We start from the raw sequence: 21654 nt of genomic DNA, 5'->3' as shown, positions 1-21654 counted from the left end.
CATACTCAGGGGTAATGTTGGGATTCAGAATGTAATGTACCTCAATTTTTATTATTACCCATCATTTTATATTCTCTTCTCCTCCTCTCCCTTCTATTCATGTTGATGGATGGTTCTCAGCCCTAGCTGTACATTAGAACCATCTAGGGAGCTATTTAACAACATCATTCCGCATCTCTAGACATTCTGCTTTAATTGATGATTGACAGCCAGTGCCAGACCATTGATAGTAGAAAGGGCTGTGTTTTCCTGTTTAGTCTTCAGTATCATATTCTGTATCCTTCGTAGAGCCCCAGTGGGGAGGATCTATCTGGATCCTGGACAGGATAGAAAGACAGTCTCACTGTTGGTTAAGTCAGGCCTGAACCATTTAGGGGGAGGTGTGGAGTAGAAACCTGTGCCCTGGAATCAGCATGCCTGGCTGTGAATTCTCAAGTGAACACGGACTAGCTGAGTCATGTTCTGAATGCATTTAATTAATCTCCCAACTCAGGTTTCCTCATCTGTAAAAAGCAGACAATTACAACTCTATAGAGTTGTAACTAAAGAAATTAATACATATGAAGTGCTTAGAACAGTTCCCCGCACATGGTAAGAACTATAAATATCAATTGTTATTTTATAGAATCTGTAGGTCAAAGACAGAGCGATAGAAGGTGCTGCTTTCCAACACCTGCAGGTTCTGAAGAAGTCGGGTTGGTTCTGGAGGAGGTAGCGGAATTGCTGATGCTGTCAAGGAGAGTGGGATGACCCTTTGGGTAAACCCTATAAATGGTTTTGAAAGAGTGAATTCTGCAGGATCTCTGCTTTTGTAGCTATTTAGGGGGAAAAATCTTAGATAAAGAAAGGGCCAGAGAAATAAAATTGTTATATTTTTAAAAAGGGGTTGGGCACGATGGCTTATGCCTGTAATCCCAGCACTTTGGGAGGCCTAGGTGGGTGAACCATGAGGTCAGGAGTTCGAGACCAGTGTGGCCAACATGGCGAAAACCCGTCTCTACTAAAAATACAGAAAATTAGCTGGGCCTAGTGACAGGCACCTGTAATCCCAGCTACTCAGGAGGCTGAGGCAGGAGAATCACTTGAACCTAGGAGGCGGAAGTTGCAGTGCGCCAGGATTGTGCCATGGTACTCCAGCCTGGGTGACAGAGTGAGACTCCATCTCAAAAGTCCACCTGAGTTCTAATAAAATTTTGTTACCCAAAATGGGTCTGCAAAAGTTTTTAGAGAGACAGTGAATTCTTAAAATGCTTGTTTATTTGTGGGAGGAATTATTGTAGAGATGTAATAAGCTTGGTTAAGATGGCTCAAACGTTGACACAACTACAGTGATTTATTTGGACTGGCAGGCTGGGAGGAGTTCCTTAGCAAGGTTAAATTTCAAAGCTCATAGGTCAGAGACATAAAGGGGCCAGTCAAGTGAAAAGGAAATCCCTAGCCAAAAGAAAGAAGTGAAGCATACCTTCCTCTCTCTAAAGTTAAATCTAGATTGATTGAGATTTTGGAAATCATTTGTTTTGTGGCTGTTTCCCCCTTCTCCCCATTTTTAGTGGTAACATTTACATTTTGGGCCTCTCCTTCCTGTTCCTCCTCTTTTTGTTTCAAGCAAGGCAGGGCTCATGGAATGAAATAGAATATAAGTTTAATACCAGCTTAAGCTAAAACTAATTAAGGAAGCAAATCTGCCGCTCCCCTCCAAAATCAAACACTGCATACCAGAATCAAGTCAAAATGACTTTTAGATTGTCTGTTATTTGGGAATATCGGTACCGCTGCTCCTTCAATTACCAAGTCTAATTTGGAGTTGACTGCAGATTTAAGCACTTTTCGCAGGAGAAGTTCATGAGGCATTCAGACTAAATCTAATTCATTTGTACAGTATTTCTTGGGCAAAGGTGGGTAGCTAGGGATTCGTCTAACTACGGGGTAGAGGAAAACTGCAGCACGAGGGACTTTCTCATGGTCTCTAAGCGAGGTGATGGCAGAAATGGAAAATGGGACGTGGTTCTCCCTAGCTGCACCCCGCACGGCCTCTTGGTTACCCATCTCGCCTATGGGCGATTTGCCACTGGTCTCTGCTTCCATCCTTTCTCTGTCTTTGCACAAACATACAGAGGCATTTGAAAAACAACAACAACAACAACCTGGTTATAGTAATGCTTACATATATTATGTTCATGAGCCTTTCCATGCACTTCCTGTGAAACCTGGAGCCCCGGGTATTTGGATAAAATTGAAAGGACGCATACTAATTTGGACGCTGTGACAGCATTGTAACCAAGACTTACAGTTGCAAATGGTTGACAACTCAGCTATTGGGTGATAAGAGAGTGATGGAAATCTGATGTGATGGGATGACCCTTTCTGACAAGTGAACAAAGAAACCTGCATATCTATTTTTAACCAGGCTCTGGAGACTTCCAGTAATTGACATTTGGAGCCGAGCTCATACTTGTCCTAGTTCCTGGGGATATTTGCATCTCTTTCTGTGTTTGGGTTTTGTTTGTCTAATCTTTCTGAGCAGGTTGGGAAGGCATTAGCCTCTGCCTAGGCTCAGGACTCAGGGAAGATGCTCTCCTTTCTCCCAGCTCCCTGCAGCCTCCTGCCATTTTCTCTGGCTGGGCCTTCGTGCATGATGTTTTATTACAGCAGAAATGCAAATGCTACCTTGTGTTGTTGTGAGTTGCCATACCTGAGGGCCGCTGATAAATCAGGTTTTATTGTTCGTACTTATTATAGTGGGACACAGAGAGACATCAAGGTTGGGTCCTTGAGTTGAAGTGCAGCAGAATAAAAGATAAAGCCAGAACTTGGTAGGTGGAGGCGTAGGAGAGTCAGAGGTCACCTCCAATCTCCCTTAAACTCTTATGTGGGCCCTTTGGCTGAAACTAGCAACCAAACTGACACCAGGCTGATGAACAAGAAAGAAGCATATCAATTGTATTAGCTTTAAATGTACATAGAGATCTTCTGAAGAGAGAGAGGTGAAGAAGTAGCCAAAGGAAGTTGCTTTTATACTTTTTAGACAAAGAATGATCAATTTGAGAAGAAATTACAAGGCAAAGAATAGGTAGCCAAGGGGCAGTCAATTTCTACAGGAGTCACTAGGAGATACATAGGAGTGGGGAGTGTAAAAGTAGTAGAAGTAAGGGTTACTTTGAGAAGTCTATTAATTCAGGTCCATTGCAGGCCCCAGCGCTCAGTCTCTGGTGATGAGGTCTGTTTTCTTGCCTTGGTACAGGTATGGGGCCTCTCCCAGAGGAATCTTTATGCTATGCTGCAAGCAGGAAGAGACAGGTCAGCCCACCTGTTTTAAAACTGCAATATCTAGAATGTGGTCAACTCAAAACAATCCATATAACAATCTGTTGTATTTTGGTATGGCGCATCCTTCACTCCTTCAGAGGCTGCATGTAAACAATTCTCCCAAAAGGAAGTGACTGGAATGAACAACAGAGTCTGTGAACCCAGCCTTGGGCCTCCCTTTCTTCTTTTCCCTCTTCCCTGGGGCTGCTCATGTTCCTGATCAGCCTTCCTGTATTGGGTCTCTTATTCTGCCTCTTCCTGAATAAAACCTCTTCCCATGCAATGATTCAATGATTTATCCATATCGAGATGCAATGGACACACAGAGTTTCTGCATTACTTCTCAGCATGTTTTTAGCATTTGAACAAGGACAAGGCTGAAATCCAAAGGGGTAACCCTTTTGTCTGGGAATTCCAGATACCTAGTGGGGGTGAAATTCTCAGGTTAAGGTGGAGGCTAGGCTTTTTCTGGAAATACTGAAATATCAGCATTTCAGTATTTGGGCCTCTGCTGCTTCTACGTAGATTAGAGCAGTCTCCATGAAGATGGAAGGAAAAGGCTGTGAGAACTGGAAACTACGGCGATGCTGTTCTATTCTTCACAATAGGCCACCAGAGACATCATTCAGGAAACACAAATCTCTTCACTCCAACTGAAAAGCCAGAAGTAGTTTCATGGCTCTGAAAGACCAAAATCTTTACAATGATCAACAAGGCTCCAGCAAAGTCCAGCCTTCTCTGGCAATCTTGGCCTCTCTCACTTTTCCAGTCTTCTTTCAGTTCCTCAAATGTACAAGCCATCTGCAGTCAGGCATCCCCCTCTGTCTGCGAGGTGCTTCCTCACCCGTCACCTCCTCCCCATTCCCCCACACTGTCTGTCTACCTAGATAACTGCAAATCACCATGATGACAGATCAAATGTCACTTCCTCCTGGAATGCTTTCATGATCGCTTATTTGCTCTGTTCTTATCCATACAGTGCTGAGACAATTTGCAATAATTTGCTAACTGTCTAAGTATCCATCTCTACAAGGACAAAAACTGTGTATGAATTGCTCACCATTGATATCCCCATCTCTACCACCTGCCAGACCCAGGAAGCACAAAAAGAAGTCCTTATGGGACCCACAGATTATATTGAAATCCTGATTGAATAATTACTGTCATGATTGTTATTTTACTATCAGAAAGAAACTTAGAGGTGTCCTCAAAAACATATATTATTTTCTTTCATAAATTTGATATGTATGTGTATATATACAGATATGAATGCACAATATTGGGGAAATATTTCATTTTTCAATGCATCTTTTACATCTACTGTTTTACTTGTTCCTCAAAAAAATTCTGTGAGAAGCTGAGGTATTTTATTGTGAGGAAATTCAAATATATGTTATATAAATATACGTAGATAACATACACTAGTATATTATATGGATACTATATAAGCATTTTTATATACACTAATTTACTAGTATGTTATATAATATAATTATGTATGATATGTACACATTTATGAGTATATTATATATTTACCTAAAGCCACACTGCAAGCTAGTTTCAAAGATAGAATTCATTACTGAATTTTATAATCAAGAGTGATGATTAAGATGGTGATGACAGTGTGTGGGTGTTGTTGAAAAGACTGCCTCTAGACACCCTTCCTTTTGTGTTGGCGTGTAAGGATGGGTCTTTAATTTTTGTACTGTCTTTCATGATTTGTTTGTGATAACAAATCGATGACCGCTATGAGAAGTCTTTCATTGCTGACTTTTCTGTAAAGTGAGAGAGGATAAAGCAGAAGTCAGCTGGGAAGTAGTTGAGACCAAAACGTGTTGGTTGCACAAGCAAGCTATTAAATACACACCTCACCCAGACCTGCAGTTTACTGAGAACGTAGGTGATCCGTGGTTTGGATGGATTATTCTGAAAACAAATGGATATGTAATTTTGTAGATGAAATTAGGAAAAGCAAAGAAAAGAATGTTACATATGTATATCAAATACTTTGCTAAGTACTTTCATAGGTTTTGTCTTTCTTATTAATCCTCCTTGTATCCCGAGAGATGTTGGTTTTGTTATTTACTTGTTCCAGATGAAGGAATCAAAGCGGAGATCAAAGTCAGTTCGCCTGCATAAAGTCACAGGAGCCACCTGATTTATGGGACTCTTCTACCAATCTGAGTGCTATTAATCGATTCCATTGGCTTCAGTTCTTTTCCTGGAGCCATTTTATAGTGAAACTGAATATTCTGTCATAGATTTACTGTCATATTGGACAACTTTTTAGGATCTACGAAATAAACTGACTGCTATTTAGCTATGGCTTGATGTTATCACACCACCTGCTAAGGTCTGAAGGTGTGTGCCCCACCCCCCAATTGATATGTTAAAACCTACTCTTCTTTGGGAGGCTGAAGTGGGCGGATCACCTCAGGTCAGGAGTTCCAGACCAGCCTGGCCAAACATGGTAAAACCCTGTCTGTACTAAAAATACAAAAATTAGCTGGGAGTAGTGGCACATGCCTGTAATCCCAGCTACTCAGGAGGCTGAAGTGGGAGAATTCCTTGAAGCCAGGAGATGCAGGCTGCAGTGAGCTGAAATCCGATTGTGCCACTGGACTCCAGCCTGGGTGACAGAGCAAGACCCTGTCTCAGACAAAACCAAACCCAAAACCTAATCTCCATGGTGATGGTATTGGGGGGGTGCGGCCTTTGGGAGGTGATGAGGTCATGAGGGTGAGGCCCTCAAGAATGAGATTCATGTCTTTATAAAAGAAACCTGAGAGAGCTAGCGTCCTTTTGCCATGTGAGGATGCAGCTACCGATTGGCAGTCTGCAACCTGAAAGAGGTTCCTCACCAGATGCTACATCCGTCAGTGTCTTGACCTCAGACTTCCCAGCCTCTAGAACTGTGAGAAGTCAATTTCTTGATTGCTTAGGAGACCCCGAGTCTAGCGTATTTTGTTAGAGCAGCCCGAACAGACTAAGATATCAACCTCACTGATGCCCACAGACTGGTCTCCGTCCAGCTTCCAATTTGCACACTGGCCTTAAGCAATGCTGCAGTGCCCACTTCATGAGCTGGGTTTTCTGGGGCCCTCCTTATTGACAATGGACAGCTTGTCATTCAAGAGCTGCTTTGGTAATGTATCACTCATTCTCCATTCGTCTGTCCCATTGCAAACATCCTGCAAAAAACCACTACCATGCTGGCAATTCCCACCCATGTTAATGTCTCCATCTTCTCATTTATTACCCTCTATATTCAGGCTTTATGCTCAACATACCCCAAACTCAGGTCAGATGCTTGCTATGGGTGGACAACCACTTTTTTTTTTTTGTCTCCTTCTAAAGCAGGACATCATCATAATAACATGTGTTAATCATGTTATTACCAAACATCTTGAAGATATTTTGTTTTCTAATCCTTGAACATGTACCTTAAAAATCACCATAATCGCAAGATGGCCGAATAGGAACAGCTCCCCTCTACAGCTCCCAGCGTGAGCGACGCAGAAGACGGGTGATTTCTGCATTTCCATCTGAGGTACCGGGTTCATCTCACTAGGGAGTGCCAGACAGTGGGCATAGGTCATTGGGTGCACGCACCGTGCGCTAGCCGAAGCAGGGCAAGGCATTGCCTCACTTGGGAAGCGCAAGGGGTCAAAGAAAGGGGTGACGGACGGCACCTGGAAAATCGAGTCACTCCCACCCAAATACTGCGCTTTTCCGATGGGCTTAAAAAACGGCGCACCACGAGACTATATCCCACACCTGGCTCGGAGGGTCCTACACCCACGGAATCTCACTGGTTGCTAGCACAACAGTCTGAGATCAAACTGCAAGGCCGCAGCGAGGCTGGGGGAGGGGCGCCCGCCATTGCCCAGGCTTGCTTAGGTAAACAAAGCAGCAGGGAAGCTCGAACTGGGTGGAGCCCACCACAGCTCAAGGAGGCCTGCCTGCCTCTGTAGGCTCCACCTCTGGGGGCAGGGCACAGACAAACAAAAAGACAGCAGTAACCTCTGCAGACTTAAATGTCCCTGTCTGACAGCTTTGAAGAGAGCAGTGGTTCTCCCAGCATGCAGCTGGAGATCTGAGAACGGGCAGACTGCCTCCTCAAGTGGGTCCCTGACCCCTGACCCCTGAGCAGCCTAACTGGGAGGCACCCCCCAGCAGGGGCACACTGACACCTCACACGGCAGGGTACTCCAACAGACCTCCAGCTGAGAGTCCTGTCTGTTAGAAGGAAAACTAACAAACAGAAAGGACATCCACACCAAAAACCCATCTGTACATCACCATCATCAAAGACCAAAAGTAAAACCACAAAGATGGGGAAAAAACAGAACAGAAAAACTGGAAACTCTAAAAAGCAGAGCACCTCTCCTCCTCCAAAGGAACGCAGTTCCTCACCAGCAACGGAACAAAGCTGGATGGAGAATGACTTTGACGAGCTGAGAGAAGAAGGCTTCAGATGATCAAATTACTCTGAGCTACGGGAGGACATTCAAACCAAAGGCAAAGAAGTTGAAAACTTTGAAAAAAATTTAGAAGAATGTATATCTAGAATAACCAATACAGAGAAGTGCTTAAAGGAGCTGATGGAGCTGAAAACCAAGGCTCGAGAACTACGTGAAGAATGCAGAAGCCTCAGGAGCCGATGCGATCAACTGGAAGAAAGGGTATCAGCAATGGAAGAAGAAATGAATGAAATGAAGCGAGATGGGAAGTTTAGAGAAAAAAGAATAAAAGGAAATGAGCAAAGCCTCCAAGAAATATGGGACTATGTGAAAAGACCAAATCTACGTCTGATTGGTGTACCTGAAAGTGATTGGGAGAATGGAACCAAGTTGGAAAACACTCTGCAGGATATTATCCAGGAGAACTTCCCCAATCTAGCAAGGCAGGCCAACGTTCAGATTCAGGAAATACAGACAACGCCACAAAGATACTCCTCGAGAAGAGCAACTCCAAGACACATAATTGTCAGATTCACCAAAGTTGAAATGAAGGAAAAAACGTTAAGGGCAGCCAGAGAGAAAGGTCGGGTTACCCTCAAAGGGAAGCCCATCAGACTAACAGCTGATCTCTCGGCAGAAACCCTACAAGCCAGAAGAGAGTGGGGGCCAATATTCAACATTCTTAAAGAAAAGAATTTTCAACCCAGAATTTCATATCCAGCCAAACTAAGCTTCATAAGCGAAGGAGAAATAAAATACTTTACAGACAAGCAAATGCTGAGAGATTTTGTCACCACCAGGCCTGCCCTAAAAGAGCTCCTGAAGGAAGTGCTAAACATGGAAAGGAACAATCGGTACCAGCCGCTGCAAAATCATGCCAAAATGTAAAGACCATCGAGACTAGGAAGAAACTGCATCAACTAAAGAGCAAAATCACCAGCTAACATCATAATGACAGGATCAAATTCACACATAACAATATTAACTTTAAATGGACTAAATTCTCCAATTAAAAGACACAGACTGGCAAATTGGATAAAGAGTCAAGACCCATCAGTGTGCTGTATTCAGGAAACCCATCTCATGTGCAGAGACACACATAGGCTCAAAATAAAAGGATGGAGGAAGATCTACCAAGCAAATGGAAAACAAAAAAAGGCAGGGGTTGCAATCCTCATCTCTGATAAAACAGACTTTAAACCAACAAAGATCAAAAGAGACAAAGAAGGCCACTACATAATGGTAAAGGGATCAATTCAACAAGAAGAGCTAACTATCCTAAATATATATGCACCCAATACAGGAGCACCCAGATTCATAAAGCAAGTCCTGAGTGACCTACAAAGAGACTTAGACTCCCACACATTCATAATGGGAGACTTTAACACCCCACTGTCAACATTAGACAGATCAACGAGACAGAAAGTCAGCAAGGATACCCAGGAATTGAACTCAGCTCTGCACCAAGCAGACCTAGTAGACATCTACAGAACTCTCCACCCCAAATCAACAGAATATACATTTTTTTCAGCACCATGCCACACCAATTCCAAAATTGACCACATACTTGGAAGTAAAGCTCTCCTCAGCAAATGTAAAAGAACAGAAATTATAACAAAGTATCTCTCAGACCACAGTGCAATCAAACTAGAACTCAGGATTAAGAATCTCACTCAAAACCGCTCAACTACATGGAAACTGAACAACCTGCTCCTGAATGACTACTGGGTACACAACGAAATGAAGGCAGAAATAAAAATGTTCTTTGAAACCAACGAGAACAAAGACACAACATACCAGAATCTCTGGGACGCATTGAAAGCAGTGTGTAGAGGGAAATTTATAGCACTAAATGCCCACAAGAGAAAGCAGGAAAGATCCAAAATTGACACCCTAACATCACAATTAAAAGAACTAGAAAAGCAAGAGCAAACACATTCAAAAGCTAGCAGAAGGCAAGAAATAACTAAAATCAGAGCAGAACTGAAGGAAATAGAGACACAAAAAACCCTTCAAAAAATTAATGAATCCAGGAGCTGGTTTTTTGAAAGGATCAACAAAATAGGTAGATTGCTAGCAAGACTAATAAAGAAAAAAAGAGAGAAGAATGAAATAGACGCAATAAAAAATGATAAAGGGGATATCACTACTGATCCCACGGAAATACAAACTACCATCAGAGAATACTACAAACACCTCTACGCAAATAAACCAGAAAATCTAGAAGAAATGGATAAATTCCTCGACACATACACTCTCCCAAGACTAAACCAGGAAGAAGTTGAATCTCTGAATAGACAAATAACAGGAGCTGAAATTGTGGCAATAATCAATAGCTTACCAACCAAAAAGAGTCCAGGACCAGACGGATTCACAGCCGAATTCTACCAGAGGTACAAGGAGGAACTGGTACCATTCCTTCTGAAACTATTCCAATCAATAGAAAAAGAGGGAATCCTCCCTAACTCATTTTATGAGGCCAGCATCATTCTGATACCAAAGCCGGGCAGAGACACAGCCAAAAAAAGAGAATTTTAGACCAATATCCTTGATGAACATTGATGCAAAAATCCTCAATAAAATACTGGCAAAACGAATCCAGCAGCACATCAAAAAGCTTATCCACCATGATCAAGTGGGCTTCATCCCTGGGATGCAAGGCTGGTTCAATATACACAAATCAATAAATGTAATCCAGCATATAAACAGAGCCAAAGACAAAAACCACATGATTATCTCAATAGATGCAGAAAAGGCCTTTGACAAAATTCAACAACCCTTCATGCTAAAAACTCTCAATAAATTAGGTATTGATGGGACGTATTTCAAAATAATAAGAGCTATCTATGACAAACCCACAGCCAATATCATACTGAATGGGCAAAAACTGGAAGCATTCCCTTTGAAAACTGGCACAAGACAGGGATGCCCTCTCTCACCACTCCTATTCAACATAGTGTTGGAAGTTCTGGCCAGGGCAATTAGGCAGAAGAAGGAAATAAAGGGTATTCAATTAGGAAAAGAGGAAGTCAAATTGTCCCTGTTTGCAGACGACCTGATTGTATATCTAGAAAACCCCATTGTCTCAGCCCAAAATCTCCTTAAGCTGATAAGCAACTTCAGCAAAGTCTCAGGATACAAAATCAATGTACAAAAATCACAAGCATTCTTATACACCAACAACAGACAAACAGAGAGCCAAATCATGAGTGAACTCCCATTCACAATTGCTTCAAAGAGAATAAAATACCTAGGAATCCAACTTACAAGGGATGTGAAGGACCTCTTCAAGGAGAACTACAAACCACTGCTCAAGGAAATAAAAGAGGATACAAAGAAATGGAAGAACATTCCATGCTCATGGGTAGGAAGAATCAATATCGTGAAAATGGCCATACTGCCCAAGGTAATTTACAGATTCAATGCCATCCCCATCAAGCTACCAATGACTTTCTTCACAGAATTGGAAAAAACTACTTTAAAGTTCATATGGAACCAAAAAAGAGCCCACATCACCAAGTCAATCCTAAGCCAAAAGAACAAAGCTGGAGGCATCACACTACCTGACTTCAAACTATACTACAAGGCTACAGTAACCAAAACAGCATGGCACTGGTACCAAAACAGAGATATAGATCAATGGAACAGAACAGAGCCCTCAGAAATAATGCCACATATCTACAACTATCTGATCTTTGAGAAACCTGAGAAAAACAAGCAATGGGGAAAGGATTCCCTATTTAATAAATGGTGCTGGGAAAACTGGCTAGCCATATGTAGAAAGCTGAAACTGGATCCCTTCCTTACACCTTATACAAAAATCAATTCAAGATGGATTAAAGACTTAAACGTTAGACCTAAAACCATAAAAACCCTAGAAGAAAACCTAGGCATTACCATTCAGGACATAAGCATGGGCAAGGACTTCATGTCTAAAACACCAAAAGCAATGGCAACAAAAGACAAAATTGACAAATGGGATCTCATTAAACTAAAGAGCTTCTGCACAGCAAAAAGGAACTACCATGAGAGTGAACAGGCAACCTACAAAATGGGAGAAAATTTTCGCAACCTACTCATCTGACAAAGGGCTAATATCCAGAATCTACAATGAACTCAAACAAATTTACAAGAAAAAAACAAACAACCCCATCAAAAAGTGGGCGAAGGACATGAACAGACACTTCTCAAAAGAAGACATTTATGCAGCCAAAAAACACATGAAAAAATGCTCATCATCACTGGCCATCAGAGAAATGCAAATCAAAACCACAATGAGATACCATCTCACACCAGTTAGAATGGCTATCATTAAAAAGTCAGGAAACAACAGGTGCTGGAGAGGATGTGGAGAAATAGGAACACTTTTACACTGTTGGTGGGACTGTAAACTGATTCAACCATTGTGGAAGTCAGTGTGGTGATTCCTCAGGGATCTAGAAGTAAAATACCATTTGACCCAGCCCATCCCATTACTGGGTATATACCCAAAGGACTATAAATCATGCTGCTATAAAGACACATGCACACGTATGTTTATTGTGGCATTATTCACAATAGCAAAGACTTGGAACCAACCCAAATGTCCAACAATGATAGACTGGATTAAGAAAATGTGGCACATATACACCATGGAATACTATGCAGCCATAAAAAATGATGAGTTCATGTCCTTTGTAGGGACATGGATGAAATTGGAAATCATCATTCTCAGTAAACTATCGCAAGAACAAAAAACCAAACAGCGCATATTCTCACTCATAGGTGGGAATTGAACAATGAGATCACATGGACACAGGAAGGGGAACATCACACTCTGGGGACTGTTGTGGGGTGGGGGGAGAGGGGAGGGATAGCACTGGGAGATATACCTAATGCTAGATGACGAGTTAGTGGGTGCAGCGCACCAGCATGGCATATGTATACATATGTAACTAACCTGCACAATGTGCACATGCACCCTAAAACTTAAAGTATAATAATAAAAAAAAATCACCATAATCCTAGGAATATGGCGATTTCCCTTTTCTCTGAAAAGAAAACTGAGATAATGTAAGAAAAATAAGTTCCTTGAGGACATAAGCTTGAAGGAGGTTGAGCTGGTATTTGTTTGTTTTTTCGAGACAGAGTTTCACTGTCACCCAGGCTGGAATGCAGTTGGCACGATCTAGGCTCACTGCAACCTCTGCCTCCCCAGTTCAAGTGATTCTCATGCCTCAGCCTCCTGAGTAGCTGGTATTATAGGCGTGCATCACCATGCCAGGCTAATTTTTGTATTTTTAGTAGAGATGGGGTTTCACCATCATGGCCACACTGTTCTCGAACCCCTGACCTCAAGTGATCTGCCCACCTCAGCCTCCCAAAGTGCTGAGATTATAGGCATGCACCACTGTGCCCAACCATGAGCTGGTATTTTGCATGCAGGTGGTCTGTCTTCTGGTCCTGCACTGTTGTCAACCATTGTGTACTGATGGGATGCTTGATGGGAGCGGGTAGGCATTTGTGCCTTCATTCTGTACTTTTATTTTGGCACTCACTGTATTTTATACAGTGTATTATTTTAATCTATGTGTGTGCATACACACACATACACATGATAACACTTAGTAAGATGTATAGATAACCTTAATCATGTAGGCTGATAGACTGGGAAACATGTTTGATTTGCTCAAGCAAACTCAAGCCTCTAACTCAAGGAAGCTACAGTCTGGAGGACATCGTATGCTACAGGGTAACACCTGCAATTCGGGCATCATAATGAACCAGTCACAAAGGGAAAGGTGCAAAGTTCTGGGAATTTCTAAGGTGAGGTAGAAAATCTTCAGCAAGGAGGAAACCTATATAGTCTTAGAAGCCAATGAAGAAGAGGAGAGAGGTCAGAATTCAGAAAAATGATACAAAGAGAAACAGTATTACTGGAGACTGTAGCTCCTAGCACCCATATATGGACATTATAGCTTATGTTCCACAGAGATGGTCATCAGTTTAAACCTCATTCTCAATCTTGTATATTCTGAAACCTGCCACTGGAGTCTCTGCATGTAGATCTGACTGGTGCTTGGAATGTCCTCCACATATACTTGTTGAATGAAATACTTCCTGTGGGATTTCATGTTTGATTTCTGTTGAAATTCAGTAGGAACATGTTATGTATAGATATAGAATTTTGTTCACACGTACATATTTCGTTAAATTTGTTGCATAATGTGAAATGAACTTTCAATTCTATTGAAATTCCTTGGCTGAATAGAGGGCTTTGTTTGAGGAGGTTGGTGTACACTCTCGGTTATTTGCTAATCCAGGTTCTTCGGTGAATCTGTTTTGGTTCATGTGATTTGAATGCCTTTTCTGGTGTTAGCTTAGGAGTAAATTCGTTGTCATAAACTATCCATGAGTAATCTTGTTCATGTCTTTAGCCTGCATGTTGAAAGTATTTCATAGTGCTATGAAGTATATTCAAATACTAGTTTTCATTTTTCATGTTATGATTTTGTGAAATGTGCTTTTTAATTTGATATACTGCAAAGGTGATATGGTTTAGCTCTGTGTCCCCACCCAAATATCATGTTGATTTGTAATCCTAAGTGTTGGGGGAGGGACCTGGTGGAGGTGACTGGATCATGGGGGCAGATTTTCCACCTTGCTGTTCTCATGATAGTGAGTCCTCATGAGATCTGATGGTTTAAAAGTGTGTGGCACTTCCCTCTTCACTGTTTCTCTCTCCTGCCACCATGTGAAGAAGGTCCTTGCTTCCCCCTCCCCTTTCACCATGATTGTCAATTTCCTGAGGCCTCCTGGTAATGCTTCCTGTTAAATCTGTGCAGCTGTGAGCCAATTAAACCTCTCTTCTTCATAAGTTACCCAGTCTCAGGTAGTTCTTTAGAGCAGTATGAGGATGGACTAATACAAAAGGTAACAAAAATTATGGAACTCAGAAATGATACCATATTTTTTCTTCTTTAAAACTTAAATTTAACTACTTTTTTTTTAGGAGAGAGATAGGGTCTTGTTCTGTTGCCCAGCCTGGGGTGCAGTGGTGTGAGCATGGTTCACTGAAGCCTCGAATTCCTGGGCTCAAGCAATTCTCCTGCCTTAGCCTCCCGAGTAGCTGGGACTACAGGCATCCACCACCACACCCAACTAATTAATTAATTTTTTTTTGGTATACACAGAGTTTTGTTTTGTTGCTCAGACTGGCCTCAAACTCCTGGCTTCAAGTGACACTCTTGTCTCTAAGTGTTTGGATTACAGGCATGAGCCACTGAGCCCAGCCAAAAAAAAACTGGCTAGTACCATTTATTTTCATACAACCAATTATATCATCACGAGTTGGTTTAAAGTATTGGTTCCATTCTTAGGGATGCTAAATACTGTAAATATTATAAAGGTGCCAGGAATAACTGGTGATCAAGGAGTAATGCATTGAGGTCCCTCTGTTGTACCCAGGACTTTCTCTGTACTGGACATGCATCAGCTATTCAATTGGTTTACTCTGTTGTGGCACAATGATACTTATGAATTTGGGAGTCTAGTTAAACACACTAAATGGAGGAGGCTGGGTCGGGTCTGGGCAGCACTGGAAGGCAGTGGTTATAATTTGTTAGCATCTTTCTTTCTGACTGTGGTCAAGGCAGTGGCATCTTGGAAATGTCATAGCTTTGCTTCACTGTCCCCTATGTGGAAAAGCAGTCCAGATCTGTTTATAAACAAGCACTTTATCTCCTACCTTAAAGGATTCTGCAACGTGAGATATACTGATAGTTTCAAGCTGCAGTTACAGGACCTACAGTTCTTGCTTTGACAAGACAGAACTTAGTCCATCGGCTGTCATGTTAAAATGAAAGAAATGCAGGTAAAATCCTAAATCCAAGAATAAAAACTCCAGACTGACTATAACAAAACAGATTCTTGTAACTCGGGGAATTGTTTAACCATGGTGATAAACTTGTTCGCGAATATCATAAATGTAGCAGCAGTAGTAGCCCTTGCTGTGAGTCTGTACTTTAGAAAGAACAATGGTAAGGCTTTGTATGCTTGAATCACAAGTCAGAATAGGAGACAGCATTTTGCTCTCTGCTCTTTTGAGAAGATCCATTGTTCCTATTTGCAGAAATTCCCAGACATTCTGGCTGTTCTGATCATTTTTCTTTCTCATGCCTCAGGTAGCAAATTGACAGTGGGTAGGAGAGTGTAAACACTGGGGCAATAGAAATTATGTAAATGTTGCATCCCGGCAAGAAAACTTTCAACCCCTTGAGGTCTTTTAGACAGCATTAATTCTAGAAATTAGATACAAAATTTAACTTTTTCATGCTTATAATGATTTCATAAAGAAAAACTCATTAGTAAAGGTGACAAATATGAAGTTCTATTGAACATTTAAATTCAGGAATCTCAGTGAGTGCCCTAGGGAGATATTTAGCCAGCCAATGACTCTCTGATGTTATTAAGAAGTAATTTATTCAAGGAAGTCTCCATTCATGAGTTTACATAAGAACAATACCTACTTTTCAAAGGCTTGTGTTCTCAGTATAGAACATACCTAATTTACAATGACTTTTGGTTAAAATTTTCATTAGGTTCGTTCAATAGTATTTGATAATTTTAATTTAGTTTTTTGAGATCCCAGGTTCCCATTTACAGGAAGAGAAAATGCATAGGAAATAAATTTTTAAAGAGCAAATTCATCTCTCAAGTGAGCTCTGTTAATTTCAGTAGCAAATCTGAGGTGGAGGAAAGTTAACCTTTAGTATTTCTATGGCAGTCCGTTTGGGCAGAGGTGACCAGTATCCATTAAAAACAATTCAGGTCCACTGTATCAGCACTTTGCATGTGCCCATCTGTGCAGCACTTCCACAAGAGACTCTTTGGTGAAATACTGAAATGAAAAAACGGCACCACAGTTTAAGTGTAGGGTGTTTTCATGGGCACAGAAAAGCAGAATCGAAACAGGTAAGGAGCATATGCTGCCAGTTCCTGAAACAAGGGTTAGGGAGCATACAATGGCCAGAGATCAGGAATTTAGGTAGGAAAACCACTATGTAAGATTTCATCAAGAAGGTGGGATCAGGGCAGACTCAGAGTTCCACATATAAGAAGATAAGGCTGGGCATGGGACCAGTCATCCCAGTAGAGTGGAATGAGCCTTTTGTAGTGCAAATCTGACTTCCTGCTTGTATCAGTCTATTTCCATGCTGCTATGAAGACACATCTGAGACTGGGTAATTTATAAAGAAAAGAGGTTTAATTGACTCACAGTTCCACATGGCTGGGGGGCCTCAGGCAACTCACGATCATGGCGGAAGGTGAAACAGGCATGTCTTACATGGTGGCAGGTGAGAGAAGCAAGAGCCAAGTGAAGAGGGGAGCCCCTTATAAAACCACAAGATCTCATGAGAACTCACTCACTATCACAAGGACAGTATAGGGGAAACTACCCTATGATTCAATTTTGTCCACCTGGTCCCACCCTTGACACCTGGGGATTATTACAATTCAAGGGGAGATTTGGGTGGGGACACAGAGCCAAACCATAACACTGCTCCAGAAGGGAAGATCTCAGGGATGCGGTGATCACAACCCTGCCAATGTAATGGGGACTTTGCCCAGTTTGACTGGAAATAAAACAAGTTAACAAGAGATTGCAAAAAAACAAAACAAAACAAAAACCCACCCCACCCCCCCCCCCAAAAAATCCAAAAACCCAAATCCACAGAAAATTAAAGATTTTAGCAATTAAGTTTCCAGGTAAAGCTACCTGGTTTATACTTCCAAGGTAATAACTTCAAACGTTTTTCCCAGGTAATCTGCAATCCTATCAACACTCTCCCAATTTTATCAACCAATTGAAAGGATCTATTTGCCAACAACGAAATCATCTTCTCACGTTATTACCACCGTGTTGACACTGTTGAATTGTAAATAAAATGTCCTGTCACATTAAGCAGCACGGTCCTGAAAAGTTAGGTGCGGTTTGCGTAGCTGCCATCATCCTCAGTGAAAGATCAAGGAGGGCAAGCCACTCCCAGGCCACCATGACCATTCTGAACTGGCCTCTTTCCCCTGACTCTTCAGGTAAAGGAAGAGGACTAGGAAACAATTATTCCATGAATTTGATCAATGCAGAAAACCAAACTAGATTAGACACCTTCTAAATGTCAGCTTCCCCCGACTAACAGTCTTATATGTGTTTCTTCTCTTTATTTAGCTCATGAAAGTAGCTGTGGTCTACTTAGAAAACAGACTCTTTCACACTTGTCTCAACCCACAGCAAAGAAGGAACTGGCTTCTTTCTCAGTAGGAGCCCTAAGCTATAAAATCAGCCTCATATTAAGGTGAATTCAAAAGAACATCTCCTGAATTTTTAGGGCTTGGCTTTTGAGACACCATATAAAACCTTTGAAACCAAAGTCAAAAGCCCTGTGTGTTAGTTGTGTATGGACTTTGCAATCTATCTAAAATACATTCTGATAGTATTAGAAGTGAATCTACAGAATGTATCGTATGTGATTGCCATTGTCATTATAAGTTACGGCTCTGTATTTTATAGGATATAATAAAATGAAATGATAAAAGTGACATTAAACTTTGAATTTCAGTGCTTAAATCACACATTTGATTCATCATTTGGCAGCTAAATGTCTCTTAAGTACTGTGGAAAGTTTTATGATTTAATGTTTGCCTAAAGAACGGAAAGAAATGGGTAAAGCTGTGTCACTAAGTGCAGTTGAACGATGCTGCATAAAACCACCAAAAAGCAGATGACAGTCTAGTTTCCTTTGGCCTCTGAGAAGAGAAAGACCAAAATCTGAGCCGCTCTGTATACTTCTGGCCCCCTGGTTCCCAGAGGATCATCAAAACCACACCATGCACAGAATAAGCATAGGGTTTACCTGCTTTCTTACCACTGCACTTAACTTGCCCTGACAACCCTTTGAAGCCCTTCATTATGCCTAAGAAACTGACATTTTGGTCTCCGGTGGTTGTTTGTACTTAGCCTCCTGTCTTTGTTGGTTTTGCTCTAACCAAAGAGAATCCACTGAGATATGGGAAATCTTAACTCTCAATGCTTAAAGGCTCAATGAACTAGCTCCCGGTGCTGTGAATAGGATGTGCCTGCAGGGTTTTCTGAAAACCTTGTTGACTATGCACCTGTTTCTCAGATTTAGGAGCTTCAAAATAGCACGTTCTATTCTTGGGATGGGAGCTGGCCTAATTTGACAAAGCTCTTGTTGCAATTTTTTGTTGTTGTTGTTGAGACAGGGTCCTGCTCTGTCACCCAGGCTGGAGCACAGTCATGTAATCTCGACTCACTGCAGGCTCAACCTCCTGGGCTCAGGCGATCCTCCCACCTCAGCCTCCTGAGTAGCTGGGACCACAGGAGCATGCCTCATGCCCAGCTAATTTTGTTTATGTTTTGTAGAGATGGGGGTCACATCATGTTCCCTAGGCTGGTCTTGAATTCCTGGACTTAAGCTATCCACCCGCCTTGTCCTCTCAAAGTCCTGGGATTACAGGCGTGAGCCACTGTGCCTGGCTCATTATTTATTACTTTTTAAACTTTGTTTTACTGAACCTTCTGGCAATGGAAATCGTTTTCCATATTCTGACCCCCACAGTCATTGCTCAAATGTCTGGTAAGAAGGCGGGACGTAGAACAGCAATATCTGGTTTCCAAACTCACTTTGTTTGGGCTCTGACTACAATTAGATAATTGTATATCAACTTGCACACTGATAGAGGAACAGTGTAATTCGTGGTGCAATCTGATGATGATTCTAGAGGATTTGTGAAGGCCCCATTACTCCCTAGAATGTTTGCTCATCTGTTGACTCCTACTGAAATAGCCACAGTCCTCTATCATCCGTGCTTCATCCCTTCATCCCGAGGTAGGAATCCCTGTGATATGTAAAGGTTGTAACATAGGTAATTCCCCAAGGTGTTATTAATCATAACTAAAGGTACAGAAAGTACGTGCGATTTTTTTTTCTGTGGGTGGGAGTAGGAGTCCCTAAAGGTAGAAATTCTGAAAAGGAGTGAAAGGAAAGAGAAACAGTCAAGAGGAAAAAGGAGAATAGAAAATCCAGAGGTCCTGGGGACCCTCTTGCCTGACGACTTTTGCCTTTGGTCCTCCTGTTGACAAAACTCTAGGGTTTTAAAGAATCTAAATTGCTTTTTGTCACCTTCTCAGTTAGAGAGGCTAATCCTAATATTAATGAACACACTTGAGCAATGAAATCGTAAGTTTTTTTCTTTCATAACCAAGCCCATCATATATGATCTACATTACAACTGCTATCCACGCAATGCATATGTGTTTTAGGATTGAGTAACTTTTTCTTTCCCATCTGTACTCTAAAACTGCGCCATATGTCACCTAACAAGGTATTTTCCATTATTATTTTATTCAGTTCACTACATGTTATTCCTCTTGCCCCTTGAGAATGAGCCTGTCTGTAATCAGAAATCACTTCTGCTCACAGCTCAGTGCACCTACTGTAGATGTGGCAAATACGTGTTTATGGGGCTGGTAATTGGATTAAAACATTAAAAAGAAACAGAAAGATGGACCGTATTGAAACGAATGGAAAACACAAGCATGAAAATCAACAAAACCAAAATGAATTAAAAGCTCCAATGAATGAAATCGCTATTAATAGGAGTTATTTATCAGTAACAATGCCCTGGATTTTGCAGGGCTCAACATTCAATTGCAATGACATTTAAAAACCTAAGTGGAGGAGGAAAAGAACTTTTGAACAGACTTTCTGTGAGAATGTTTCGAAAATAGCTGATCAGTTTCTGTGTATCTTCTGGCTGCCTTTACGCTGTTCATGTCTTCTTTGCCCCTGGATATTGAAATACTATAGTAGGGAAAATGTCCCGTGTTAAATTATTTAAGAGGGCAAATTAATTATTCTCTTAAATTTGGGTGCTATTTTGATACTTGAAATTAGAGAAAAGAGAAAGCAAGTGTGATCTGTTTTCACAGGGTCTTGCTGCGTTCTGTGAGTGTGGCACTGGGGGCTTGCTGGTCCATGTTGTCAATCCAGGAGTGATGGAGTTCATATACAGCTGACTGCTTCCATTCTCAAAACAGACCCATAGAATTCAGTTTCAGAACAGTCTCCTAATACTGTTACTCAAAATACTTTTTACAAAGAAGCCGACGTTTTGGGGGAAAACACAAGAAAACACCTAGTAATAGAACAAAAGCGATCGTAATACAGAAATGTGCAATCAAACAGTCATCCAGGAATGCTGATATCCAATAACAGGTAGGCTCTTATGTAAATGTGATCCAAAGAGACAATGGATCAGATTCAACAGTAAACTGAATCCAGAAGAAAAAAAAAATGCAAAGAGAAACAAGAGAAATGTTTATATCCCAGGAACGACAAAAAGCAGAAAACCAAAGCCAAGGGAATAAACCACCCTCACTACTTGTCTAGCAGGTGCTCTTCAAACGGAACACCTTCAGTCTGCGCAAGAAGCAAGCTCTTACCTGATGGGCCGGATCACTCCTTTGTGTAGCTCTGTAGACCTAAATATGAAGAAAATAGAAGTAATGAAGCACAGTCCTCCAATTTGTGAAACATGCTCTATGCTAACATGTAATTTTTCAAAAAATTGTTCTTTAAGAAAAACGGTGAAGCAATGGGTAACAACTGAGATTAATTTTGTGTCATTTGCTCTTGTAAATTTCTCATTGTGCTCACCGACCTACAGTGAATGCAGAAGTGAAATTTACTTGTGGAAGGCTTGTTGTTCCCCGTCAGAGTAAAATAATATTGCTGCATTAATTGATTTTTGATTTCTACTACATCTACGCAAATAAGATTTTACTCGGGGTGGTCCATATTACATTGAGGATTTTGATACCTGT

At 41.3% G+C, this 21654-nt stretch overlaps 1 protein-coding gene across 9 annotated transcripts in view, besides 2 other annotated features; it reads right to left on the bottom strand.

Moving 5' to 3' along the window:
* Positions 1–21654, bottom strand: part of CELF2 (CUGBP Elav-like family member 2) — an 874126-nt gene that overhangs the window by 632908 nt on the left and 219564 nt on the right. For all 9 annotated transcript variants that reach the window (XM_047424494.1, NM_001326323.2, NM_001326320.2 and 6 more), the window contains exon 2: positions 21274–21312. The gene's annotated coding sequence lies outside the window, so the exon portion shown is untranslated. The remainder of the gene's footprint in view (positions 1–21273; positions 21313–21654) is intronic.
* Positions 6476–7018: an enhancer, noted in NCBI's record as "H3K4me1 hESC enhancer chr10:10738713-10739255 (GRCh37/hg19 assembly coordinates)". NCBI's record gives its function as "activates a minimal SCP1, AML or CMV promoter by ChIP-STARR-seq in primed H9 embryonic stem cells {active_cell/tissue: H9 hESC(primed)}" and the evidence as "EXISTENCE:reporter gene assay evidence [ECO:0000049][PMID:30033119]".
* Positions 17934–18043: a silencer, noted in NCBI's record as "silent region_2121". NCBI's record gives its function as "represses an Ori minimal core promoter by ATAC-STARR-seq in GM12878 lymphoblastoid cells {active_cell/tissue: GM12878}" and the evidence as "EXISTENCE:reporter gene assay evidence [ECO:0000049][PMID:35858748]".

Source organism: Homo sapiens, chromosome 10, assembly GCF_000001405.40.
Source record: "Homo sapiens chromosome 10, GRCh38.p14 Primary Assembly".
Lineage (NCBI taxonomy): Eukaryota > Metazoa > Chordata > Mammalia > Primates > Hominidae > Homo > Homo sapiens.
Note: the sequence above shows the minus strand (reverse complement) of the source record. Positions and strands in the feature narration are given on the sequence as shown.